The sequence below is a fragment of the Homo sapiens genome, chromosome X, assembly GCF_000001405.40.
Source record: "Homo sapiens chromosome X, GRCh38.p14 Primary Assembly".
NCBI lineage: Eukaryota > Metazoa > Chordata > Mammalia > Primates > Hominidae > Homo > Homo sapiens.
In genome coordinates, this window is record NC_000023.11 from 97284504 (window position 1) to 97297160 (window position 12657).

Sequence of the window (12657 nt, forward strand, 5' to 3'; positions counted from 1 at the left end):
GGAGGCTAAGGTAAGAGAATCGCTTGAACCCGGGAGGCGGAGGTTGTGGTGAGCCGAGATCGCGCCATTGTACTTCAGCGTGGGCAACAAGACTAAAGCTCCGTCTCAAAAAAAAAAAAAAAACAAAGAGTTACAAGATTCCCGATAAGTGAATGAACATGTTATTGAGTCATGGTGCAAAGGCAAACTATATGCATCAGGCACATTTTTTTCTCTCGCCAGCCTCCCAGGAAGTTCTCAAATTGTGAATATTTGGAGTTAGAGAGAGAGAGAGAATGCTTAGTGTGCCATATCTTACTTGTGTATCTATCTCTTTTCTAAGCTATGAATACCTAGAAGGCAAGGGCTATAACCTCATTTCTATCCCAGTCCCCTAGCACAGTATGTGGCACAGAGCACTCAATAGTTATTGAACAAATAAAAGCATTCAACCCCACTGATGAAAAGCCATTCTATTTGTAATCTAGAGACATAAATTAAAGATATCAGTTTCCTAATCTTGCAGAAGTCATTAACCTAGCTGCAAGATTACTTCTTTATAAAACAATGAAAAACAGTACAGTGTCACCATTACACCAAGTGTGAGGCCAACTGGAAAATGTTTATAACAATCAGATTTGCAATGAAAGAAACCTGGAAGCAAACCCAGTTATTTGAATGAATTATTCCCCTTCCACCTTTCTTGTATTTTATGCATAATGACATGAACCTTTCAAATTCAGCTTTCTAGAATGCCTGTAAGATTCAGTTATGGGGCCGGGCGCGGTGGCTCATGCCTGTAATCCCAGCACTTTGGGAGGCTGAGGCGGGTGGATCATGAGGTCAGGAGTTCAAGACCAGCCTGACCAACATGGTGAAACCCCGTCTCTACTAAAAATACAAAAAAAAAAAAAAAAAAAAAAAAGATTCAGTTATGGTCAGGCTGGCAGTCTGTATAATTGTTTCAAATGCTATGTTGCATCTTTTTGCAATAGTACATCAATATGTCAGGATGGATACTACAAACTTGGTTATTGCTATAATCCTGAACTTTTAACCTATATGTAGGATGAGCATAACCCGTAGACTAGGATCAATACACAATTGTGTCTCCTGTTACTTTTTTTTTTTGAAACGGAGTCTCACTCTGTTGCCCAGGCTGGAGTGCAGTGGCAGTGATCTTGGCTCACTGCAACCTCCGCTTCCTGGGTTCAAGTGGTTCTCCCACCTCGGCCTCCCGAGTAGCTGGGACTACAGGTGTGTGCCACCATGCCCAGCTAATTTTTGTATTTTTAGTAGAGACGAGGTTTTACCATGTTGGCCAGGCTGGTCTCAAACTCCTGACCTTAAGTGATCTGCCTGCCTTGGCCTCCCAAAGTGCTGGGATTACAGGCGTGAGCCACTGTGCCCAGCCTCCTGTTACTTCTTTAATATTTATTTTGTGGGGATTACCTTGTCCTACACCTAGATGAAAATCTAGGCCGTTTCCATGACTTTTCTGCTTGCTTTTAGGTCTCTAAAGTTTCTGTGAGTTGCTAATACAATCTCAGCCCAGAAACTTTTTTTTTTTTTTTTTGAGATGGAGTCTGGTTCTGTCGCCCAGGCTGGAGTGCAGTGGTGCGATCTCGGCTCACTGCAACTTCTGCCTCCCGGGTTCAAGCAATTCTCCCGCCTCAGCCTCCCAAGTAGGATTACAGGTGGGATTACAGGCACACACCACCATGCCCAGTTAATTTTTGTATTTTTTTAGTAGATACGGGGTTTTACCATGTTGGCCACGCTGGTCTCAAACTTCTGACCTTGTGATCTGCCCGCCTCAGCCTCCCAAAGTGCTGGGATTACAGGCATGAGCCACCGCGCCTGGCCCAGAAACTATTAATAGAATGCTACCCTCTAGCATGCTAGCAATAGTAGCAATCTAAACTCTCGGGTTTTAAGTTAAAAGTAAACTGTTTTCTGCTTCCAAGCTGGGCTGTTGCAATGCTAGAGGGGGCAAGGTACTTTTCTGCTTTGAGACCCTCCTCTGCAATTCCCTTAATGTGGGTAATATATTTCCTTCAGCTTGCCACTTGCATGTTGTCCCAGTCTTCTCAGAGCTCCATGCCACACATATTTTAACAAGGATTCTCTGGCGGAGTACGCCTGAACTCCCAGATGTTCCTCTTGGATAGGACTGAAATACGGGCACCTCTCACTCCCACGTGGCTCACTTCTAGTCCATGGAAAACACTCATGCAGGTCTTTGCCCTGAAAAACTCTGAGACTACAGAGATCGAATCCTGTCTGTATACCACTGGCATGGGGCACCTTGGCCTCTTCAGGAATGACCCAGATACCCCTCTTCTGGGTCCCGCAACTTCAAGGAACACATTCCTTTTCTGAATAGCCTGATCAATGTCCCTTCACTTCGCTCAACTTGAAGAATGTAGCATCTCTGTCCACATACTTGGCAGTGGGGTAAGGAGCAAGATGGAGCAGGTGTTATCATGGCAACAACTTCTTCCAAAGAATGTCTTTCAAAATCCTCTTTTCCTCCACTACATTTACCCTTTCATATTTGTGAAATGGATGAGCAAGCTTCCAACAAAGGGAATATGAGAATTATAAAAATGATTTTAAGAATTTTTTGGAGCCTGGACAACATGGTGAAACCCCGTCTCTACTAAAAGGACAAAAATTAGCTGGGTGTGGCCATGCGTGCCTGTAATCCCGGCTATTTATTCTCTGGCATAAAAATCACTTGAACCTGGAGGCAGAGGTTGCAGTGAGCCAAGATCATGCCACCGAACTCCAGCCTGGGCAACAGAGTGAAACTCCGTCGGGAAAAAAAAAAAAATTTGTTTTGGGGAAAATTCTGCATATGGAAATCTGTCTTATACACACTTTTCTATGTACTGTTTAGCTGATACACGTTTTTCTATCTACTGTTTATCTGATATTGCCAATCACTGAAAAATGCGAAGAGTCAAATTTTAATATCTAGTTACACACAGGTATGCTTTTGTTTTGTTTTATACCTGGAATGCTTTATATATCAGTAGGCTATATAAAATTGTCAAAGGCATTTATGTACTTTGTAGTGATTTTAGGTATGGGTGTTGGGTGCTTTCATTTGTCACCACAAACAAACATATTACCACAGAGTTTAGATGACACAGTATTAGAGTATGGAATCAAGCTCTTGTCTTTTGAAGTTGATGTTGTGACCTGTGTAAAAAGAAGTTTTAAAAGTCAATTATTTAAAAAAAAAAAAAAAAAGTAAAGAAAAGAAAGAAACCAGCCTGGCCAACTTGGTGAACCCTGTCTCTACTGAAAATACCAAAATTGGCCGGGCCTAGTATGCACCTTTAATCCCAGCTACTCGGGAGGCTGAGGCAGGAGAATCACTTGAACCCAGGAGGCAGAGGTTGCAGTGAGCCAAGATCGCACCACTGCACCCCAGCCTGGGTAACAGAGTGAGACTCTGTCTCAAAAAAAAAAAAAAAAAAAAAAAAAAAATTAATGCCTTCACAAAGACAAATATCTTGTTTATGGTGAGGAAGACTTAAAAGCAAATCTGGATTTTCTGTTTGACTGAAAGAGTCTAGATACAGGATTTTAGAACGATGGTGATTTTGGAGTATTATCTGTGCAGCAAAGGAGGAAAAACAAAACACATACAAATGAAAAGTGCTTCTAGATGATGCTGAGGGCTTGGCTGAGGTTGGTGAGTATAAATTAGTATTGTTGCTACTTTATAATTCTGTGATTTCCTTCAGTATCCTGCAGTCACCCTAGTATAACAGCAGAGATAGTACTTGAAGTATTTGGTCCAGAGTTAGAGCTTTACTTGGCAGACGTGGAAGCAGTAAGGTTAAAGGAAATTGACAGGGCTAGTAATTATATAATTTAAATGATGAACTGTGGGGCCATGCTAAATTGTGAAGGAAGGGAGGCCAGGAATCAACTAATAGATGGCTTAAATGAAAAGATTTCTGCAGGCCGGTCGCAGTGGCTCACACCTGTAATCCTAGCACTTTGGGAGGCCAAGGTGGGTGGATCACGAGGTCAGGAGTTCGAGAACAGCCTGGCCAACATGGTGAACCCCATCTCTACTAAAAGTACAAAAATTAGCTGGGTGTGGTGGCACATGCCTATAGTCTCAGCTACTTGGGAGGCTGAGGCAGGAGAATCGCTTGAACCTGGGAGGCACAGGTTGCAGTGAGCTGAGATCACACCATTGCACTCCAGCCTGGGTGACAGCGCGAGACTCTGTCTCAAAAAAAAAAAAAAAAACACCGATTCACTCTAAGAGCACTTTCTCATAACCTTGGAAAGCCAGCCAATTAGAACTGGTTAAGCTCCTCATTTGTCCTCCTTGATTACCTAGCTCCCTCATGAACTTAACGTGTCATATATTTCAGGTGCCCCATTTTAAATTTTATTGTGAGCAACATTCCTTCTCTTGTAACAACTTTATTTTCTTAGTTAACTAATGTTTTAATATTGATGAATTCTTCCCGTGTATTTTCTAAACTCACCAATTTGTTTTTGTCCAGGGTGTTGCTGCTTCTATGGTTATTTTGAAGGTGCTTTTTGCTCAAATGAGTTATGGACTCTATCAACCAAATACGGGATTTTTGAGACAGAAATCTGACATTCAGCAAGGGTACAGAAATCTTGCTCTCTAAATTGATGTTAAAACATAACATGTCCATAATTAATGTATTATAACATTTGTCTATAATCTTCCCAGGTGTTGAAATGGTAGTTTCATACTGCTTGCCTTTCAACATATATGGACATTGTTTAATCCATTCAGAAATTCAGAAATATTCAAGATAAATCACAAATACAAAACATGCTGTAATGCCACTAATCTTTTCTATTAGATTTGCTTTAAATGGTGTCATGTTTATGTCTTCATTTACATTGTCCATTTAATAGGCTTCCCCAGCAGTCCTGCTCTGGTAATTAGCTGGCTTATTTATACCTCAACACCTTGAGCTGCTACATCTCATTTAACTTACTGCTCTTTAAAGTTCTTGTATCTCAGTGGTTCTCAACCCTCAATACACATTAGAATCATCTGGGGAACTTTTAAAAAATACTGATGCCTGGACACCATCCCAGATCAATTAAATCAGAATCTGAAAGTTGTAGCTCTGAGAACCATGGGTTCCTAACCTTTGACCAATGCCACTGCAAACACTGTGCTTAAGGTGAGGTTGAAGCAGTAAAAACAACAATCCAATTTTTTTTTTTTTTTGGTTTGTTTTTTGACCCAGGGTCTTGCTCTGTCGCCCAGGCTGTAGTGCAGTGGTGTAATTTCTGCTCACTGTAACCTCTGCCTCCTGGGTTCAAGCGATTCTCCTGCCTCAGCCTCCCGAGTAGCTGGGACTACACGCGTGTGCCAGCACACCTGGCTAACTTTTGGCATTTTTAGTAGAGACAGCTTTTTGCCATGTTGGCCAGGCCAGCCTCAAGTGAGCTGTCTGCCTTGGCCTCCCAAAGTGCTGGGATTACAGGCATGAGCCACCGCATCCAGCCAGCAATCCACTGCTTGACCTCATCCCTTCCACTCTTATTTTCCTTCCCTTGGCAGTAATTTAAATATATATATATATATATATATAATTAGATATCATCACATTCATGGGTTATCAAAACTTAGTATTTCTCCACCAACCCTAAAATGCCATTGGAAAATGCAATAGAATTCTGGAAGTAAGATTGTATTTGAAAATTATAAAAGAGATCCATTTGCTTTGCTTTCATTTTATTGTAATGCAAAGAGAAACAGAGCAAGGAGACTATCAGCAAAGACAAAGGAGATTGAAAGAGCATAAGACATTTAGGAAGCTAAAGGTTGTTTAGCATAATTGAGCCTTAGAATAGTTTCCAAGGGAACAGGGCGGGCAAAGCTGGAGAGGTAAGCATGATCCACATTCTGAGGGACTTTGGATCTCATTTCAAGGGGTTTCATCATGACTGGTTACATAACTTGTGTGGCCACAAAAAGTATGTAGCCAGTACAATATGAAAATGTGGGGCCCTTGTTAAAAATCATTGAGAATTTCAAGATGTCAGCATAAGAGTATTAAACCATGCACAGGGCTCTTCTAAACATTGGCCTGTGTGTGACTGCACAGGACTTATGCCCAGGAAGTTGGCCCTGGGTTTAATTATATCCTGAGGGTGATGTGGGACCTAAAAGATTTAGGCAGTGACTTGAGGTCATTGTAAAGATTGTTCTGACCTTGGTTGGAAAATGGATTGTTGGACCCAGAGAACAAGGTTCTACAATGGCTTTAAGAAAGCTAGTGTATCTGTCTTGGCCGGGCTGGTCACGCCTGTAATCCCAACACACTGGGAGGCCGAGGCAGGTGTATCACTTGAGGTTGGGAGCTTGAGACCAGCCTGGCCAACGTGGTGAAACCCTGTCTCTACTAAAATACAAAAAAAGAAAAAAATTAGCCAGGAGTGGTGGCAGGTGCCTGTAATCCCAGCTACTGTAGAGGCTGAGACAGGAGAATTGCTTGAACCCTTGAACCCGGCAGGCAGAGGTTGCAGTGAGCCAAGACCATGCCACTGACTCCAGCCTGGGTAACAGAGCCAGGCTCTGTCAAAAAAAAAACAAAAAAGCTGGGTGCTGTGGCTCATGCCTGTAATCCCAGCCCTTTGGGAGGCCGAGGCGGGCAGATCACCTGAGGTCAGGAGTTTGAGACCAGCCTGGCCAACATGGTGAAACCCCGTCTCTACTAAAAAATACAAAAAAATTATCCAGGCATGTTGGCACGTGCCCATAATCCCAGCTACTTGGTGGCTGAGGCAGGAGAATTGCTTGAACCTGGGAGGTAGAGGAGACAGAGGTTGTGGTGAGCCGAGATCGCACCACTGCATTCCAGCCTGGGCAACAAGAGCAAAAACTCTGTCTCAAAAAAATAAAAATAAATTTTAAAAAGCTAGTGTGTCTATCTCCATATTTTTTCTGTGAATTTTAACTATTGTGATGGTAATATTAGTGATAGGACCAGGAATAGCTTCTACTAATACAACAAGTAAACAAAGTAAACACTTTTTTTTTTTTGAGACAGAGTCTCACTCTGTTGCCAGGCTGGAGTGCAGTGGCGCGTTCTGGGCTCACTGCAACCTCCGCCTCCTGGTTTCAAGCGATTCTCCCACCTCAGCCTCCCAAGTAGCTGAGATTACAGGCACCCGCCACATCTCCCGGCTAATTTTTGTTTTTGTATTTTAGTAGAGATGGGGTTTCACCATGTTGGTCAGGCTGGTCTCGAACGCATGACCTCAGGTGATTCCCCCACCTCAGCCTCCCAAAGTGCTGGAATTACAGGCATGAGCCACCGGGCCCAGCAAGTAAACACTTTCATATACAATACTGTCATTTGATCCTTCAACTATCTGGTTGTCAGGCAAGGCATATGTTATTATCCTTAGTTTACAGATAAGGAAACAGTTAAGTCACTTGCCAAAAATTACATGACTAGTGATTGATGTATACAGGATTTGAATCAGCCCTTCTGACATTTACACTACTGATATTTCTGCTCTATTAATACTGCTAGTTTTATTAGCTACTTATAGAAGCAATTTTTTTTTTTTTTTTTTGAGACAGAGTCTTGCTCTGTCACCCAGGCTGGAGTGCAGTGGATCCTCCTGCCTCAGCCTCCTGAATAGGTGGGACCACAGGTGCATGACACCACACCAGGCTAATTTTTTAATCTTTATTTTTGTAGAAACAGGGTCTTGCCATGTTGCCCAGGCTGGTCTAGAACTCCTGGGCTCAAGCAGTCCTCCTGTGTCACCCTCCTAATATAGAAGCAATTTTTAAAACATCCATTTGTACAGTATTTAGTAGATTTTATTAAATTGTAACTGAAGTTATTGTCTACTGTGTTTTCAAAGCCTCTCATTACAGAGATCCACATGATGAAATTTGTACTACCAGAAAGATCTTTATGTAGAAAGATGTCTGTTTTCTTTTAATCAGATGTTAAAAATTATGTTACATGCATCACTCTTTTAGCCTAGCTGCCAGAGAACCTATGTGCCAATTTAATACCCAATTTTTTTTTTTTTTTTTGAGACGGAGTCTCACTCTGTCACCAGGCTGGAGTGCAGTGGGGCGATCTTGGCTCACTGCAACCTCCGCCTCCTGGGTTCAAGCGATTCCCCTGCCTCAGCCTCCCGAGTAGCTGGGACTACAGGGATGTGCCACCATGCCCGGCTAATTTTTAATATCCAATTTTTAAAACTAGCTCATACAGCTCCTCAACTCACTCAAGAGCATGTCTACTATTGTTATCGTTGATAATGCTATTTTCACATTATATTTAACTTTCTTATATTAAATGTTATAAGTTGCTTCAAATATATTTGGAAGCGGTCAGGATATAAATTCTTAATAAACTAAATAATAGCCATTTGGAAATTTATGCAAAAGAAAAAAGCAGTGTTTAAATGGCTGAGCAATAGTATAACAGACTTACCCACTCAAGCTTATTAAAGCCAGAATTAACTGACAAGTCAGATAAGCATTCCCTAATTAAATGAAAGAGGAGAATGAATAATAACATGAAAGTGAAAAAGGATGTGTGAGCCTACAAAAGACTTAGGCCAACAAATCTACTCTTAGAGATTTTCTAATGTCACTATAAATTCTAGTACCTCTGTGTCCTACTCAATATCTCTCGTGTTTTTATCGTCTTCCATGCTTAGGTCTTGTTTTTATTTTAGGCCTGTCTTTGTTGATATTTCTTTCTTTTTTTTTTTTTTTTTTTTTTTTTTGAGACGGAGTCTAGCTCTGTCGCCAGTCTGGAGTGCAGTGGCACAATATCTTGGCTCACTGCAACCTCCGCCTCCCAGGTTCAGGCCATTCTCCTGCCTCAGCCTCCCGAGTAGCTGGGATTACAGGCATGCACCACCAGGCCCAGCTAATTTTTGTATTTTTAGTGGAGACGGGGTTTCACCATGTTGGCCAGGATGGTCTCTGTCTCCTGACCTCGTAATCTGCCCACCTTGGCCTCCCAAAGTGTTGGGATTACAGGCGTGAGCCACTGCCCCCGGTCTTTGTTGACATTTCTTTATTATTATTTTGTGTATGTCATGACTAGGGATTTAGATATTTGAAGGCCTTGTCTTTTATAATAGATATAACAAGTAAATTTAGGAACTTTATATTTTATAAATAGTTGATTATTTTTATAGACTCACTATGTTTAGATTGTTTTAGGTGTTTATTTCTTTTTGTAATTTAAGCACTTAGACTTAGTTACACTCCAGGGAAAAACAACATTCTTTTAATAGTCTTGGTTTCACATTTTCTTGATTCTCTTGTCTATCTTTGTTTGTTCCTAATTTGTACATAAATAGTGATTAAAGTTCAGAGTGGCTACTGCAAAAGATAATGTTTGAATTTCAAAACTTACCTTATTTCTTTTATGATATTAATATGTTCGAAGTATCAAGTAAAATTTTAGCATTTGAGACCATGTGGAATATAAGCTTCTATGTATAGGGGAGATCTTATAAAAACAGCTTGAAGGAAGGTGTTCAGCAGAATTTATTGGCTGGATTGAATATCTAGTCCACCATTCACCCCTATATTTGAATGGATTCCTTGCCTTCTTATCCTGGGTAGGTTCGTAGTTTATCTTGTCACATGCCAGCCGTTGTTGTCCACCCTGGACTTCGCCTCTTAAGTAATAGACAGCCCCTGACTTTCACCCATAAATTATCTGATGGTGACTGGTTTGCCTCCTTGGTTTTCTTTCACTGCCCAGTGCCAGCCTATCTAAGCAAGATCTCTATAAAGATAACATCCTTATTTATTAGGACTGGAAAGTAATTTAGAAACATTCCAGTTCGTTGGTCTTAATTTATGGATGAGAAAACTGAGACCCAGAAAGAGGAAGTGACTTACATCTGTATTGAATAACATTTTGTAACATATTGGAATCCAAACATGCAGATTATTTCTATAGCACTTTGTCTAGTTTTTTTAAGAAATTATATTTCTCTTTGAGTTATTCAAGTTATATTTGTGCATATTAGTTACAGGAGGCAGATTAGTCTTTCTTACTTTATTTCACACAGATGATTATAGGAATGTAGAGCATCCACAAGAAAAAAATCAATAGCACTTAATATAACAATTTAGATATATCATACTCTATTGAACTTTGAAGCTATTTGTTATACACTATCATCATCATATTTTTTTCTCTTAAACATATGTAGGTCATAAAATTGAATTGTAAAATTGCGAGTAATTTTTATAATTTAGCAAATATTCAACTAATATTTACGGAGTTCCAGGTATGTGACATTACATTTGTGTTTTCTTTACGCCATCACTACTTGATCTTGCTTTTGTGTACGAAACACTTCATCTGCTTTTATAATTTTCCTCTATTTTACCTTCTTTCTTCATTTCCCTTGGCTGTCTTCACTAGTCCCAAAACTTTAATCAACGCTTTAACATGCAGGACTATTAGCTTTATGTCTCCCTTTTTTGCTCACTCTTTGACACACCAGCCCTAATCTTCTAACCATTAACTCCATGTTTCTACCTAGATATAGATCCTTAACCCCCGAACTCAGTATATTTACTAATAAACTCATTCATCTTCCTCTGGAATCTATTTCTTTTAATGTTACCATCACTTTCCTTAGTTATACAGGTTTATCACTGGTGGTTTTCTTGATACCACTCTCTCTTGCCTCCCACATCCATTCAATAATTATCATTTTTACCATTTGTTTAGCATTTACCATGAGCTTTTGGAATTCAAATATTATCTTTTGCAGTAGCCACTTTGAACTTTTGTCACTATTCACGTATGAATTAGGAACAAACAAAGGTAGACAAGAGAATCATGAAAATGTGAAACCAATACTATTAAAACAATGTTGCTTTTCCCTGGAGTGTAATTAAGTCTAAGTGCTTAAATTACGACAATGAAATAAACACCTAAAACAATCTAAACATAGTGATTCTATAAAAATAATCAAATATGTGCCAGGCCTTTAACATTTCATCCTCAGAACTATCCTATGAGTTAGGAGTTACTATGGTCTCCATTTTACAGTTGGATCAACTGAGGCACAGAGAAATTAGGGACCTTCCTAAATTCAGAAGACTAGTAAACAGAAGAGTTAAGATTCAAATCTACACAATCTGACTCTATAGTTAAGGCTCTTAATCACTGCATTCAGTTGCTTGCTAAATTAATACATGCTGTATTTTCTTCTTTTTTTTTTTTTTGAGATGGAGTTTCACTTTTGTCGCCTATGCTGGAGTGCAATGGCCTAATCTCAGCTCACTGCAACCTCCGCCTCTCAGGTTCAAGCTATTCTCCTGCCTCAGCCTCCTGAGTAGCTGGGATTACAGGCGTGCACCACCATGCCCAGCTAATTTTTGTATTTTTAGTAGAGACAGGGCTTCACCACGTTGGCCAGGCTGGTCTCGAACTCCTAACTTCAGGTCATCTGCCCACTTCAACCTCCCAGAGTGCTGGGATTACAGGGTTGAGCCACCATACGCAGCCATATTTTCTTCTTTTACAATGTATTTGTTCCCATCTAGTCACTTTCTATTATTACCTTGGCACAAGCTCTCATTACTTCTTGCCAGAACTATTGCAGTAGTAGTCTAGCCAGTTCCCCCGTCTCTACCTCCCTCCAGTCCATTTCATATACTTTCCTGAGATAAATCTTTCCCAAGCATGGCTAGGTGTATTTAGCTGTCCTTAGCCTAGAGAAAAATGGAGTGGCTCCAAACTAATTAGGCCCTTGAATAATATAGGAATTTTCCCTACTACCCTTCATTTATCTTGTGATCTAAGCAAACTTAATTACTTCCTGAAACACCATTCTCTTTATGTATTAATTTATCTATGCCTGAAGTTGTCAGCTTTATGTTCTTATTTATGTATATTATTTTATAATTATCCATATTATACATTATCCTGTGTACATGTATCTCTGGGACATATAGCTATTGTATATGTGTATTGCTTGTTTTCCCTCTGAGATCTTTAAATTCTCTCACATGTAAGCATATGTTGTTGATGTATTCTGAAAATGTTTTTTATGTGTCATTGGCGTGATTGTGATTTTACACCATAATTTCCCAATGTTTATGTAAACATTATAGGAACTCTGTATTTGAATATGAAACTCTTTATGCCATTAGGGCATTTGCCCCATCTATACCTTTTCTGGTTCCTATTTTAACCAGGGACATGAATTTGTAGCCTGGCCAGCTATAGTTATAGGTATTGGCTACAGAACTTTTTTTTTTTTTTTTTTGAGACGGAGTTTTGCTCTTGTTGCCCAGGCTGGAGTGCAGTGGCATGATCGCGGCTCACCGCAACCTCTGCCTTTCGGGTTCAAGCGATTCTCCTGCCTCAGGCTCCCAAGTAGCTGGGATTACAGGCATGCGCCACCACGCCCGGCTAATTTTGTATTTTTAGTAGAGATAGGGTTTCTCCATGTTGGTCAGGCTGGTCTCGAACTCCCGACCTCAGGTGATCTGCCCACCTCAGCCTCCCAAAGTGCTGGGATTACAGGTGTGAGCCACCAGGCCTGGCCTTTTTTTTTTTTTTTTTTTTTTTTTTTTTTTTTTTAAACAAAACTAACTGGCTCTTACAAGAATCAGACTCATGACCTTGGCCT

At 40.3% G+C, this 12657-nt stretch overlaps 1 protein-coding gene across 2 annotated transcripts in view, besides 2 other annotated features; it reads left to right on the top strand.

The window, feature by feature from the left end:
• The window catches only part of DIAPH2 (diaphanous related formin 2), a 920156-nt gene that overhangs the window by 599662 nt on the left and 307837 nt on the right, over positions 1-12657 (top strand). The gene's annotated exons all lie outside the window — the stretch shown is intronic.
• Positions 4826-5387: an enhancer, noted in NCBI's record as "H3K27ac-H3K4me1 hESC enhancer chrX:96544328-96544889 (GRCh37/hg19 assembly coordinates)". NCBI's record gives its function as "activates a minimal SCP1, AML or CMV promoter by ChIP-STARR-seq in naive H9 embryonic stem cells {active_cell/tissue: H9 hESC(naive)}" and the evidence as "EXISTENCE:reporter gene assay evidence [ECO:0000049][PMID:30033119]".
• Positions 5388-5948: an enhancer, noted in NCBI's record as "OCT4-NANOG-H3K27ac-H3K4me1 hESC enhancer chrX:96544890-96545450 (GRCh37/hg19 assembly coordinates)". NCBI's record gives its function as "activates a minimal SCP1, AML or CMV promoter by ChIP-STARR-seq in naive H9 embryonic stem cells {active_cell/tissue: H9 hESC(naive)}" and the evidence as "EXISTENCE:reporter gene assay evidence [ECO:0000049][PMID:30033119]".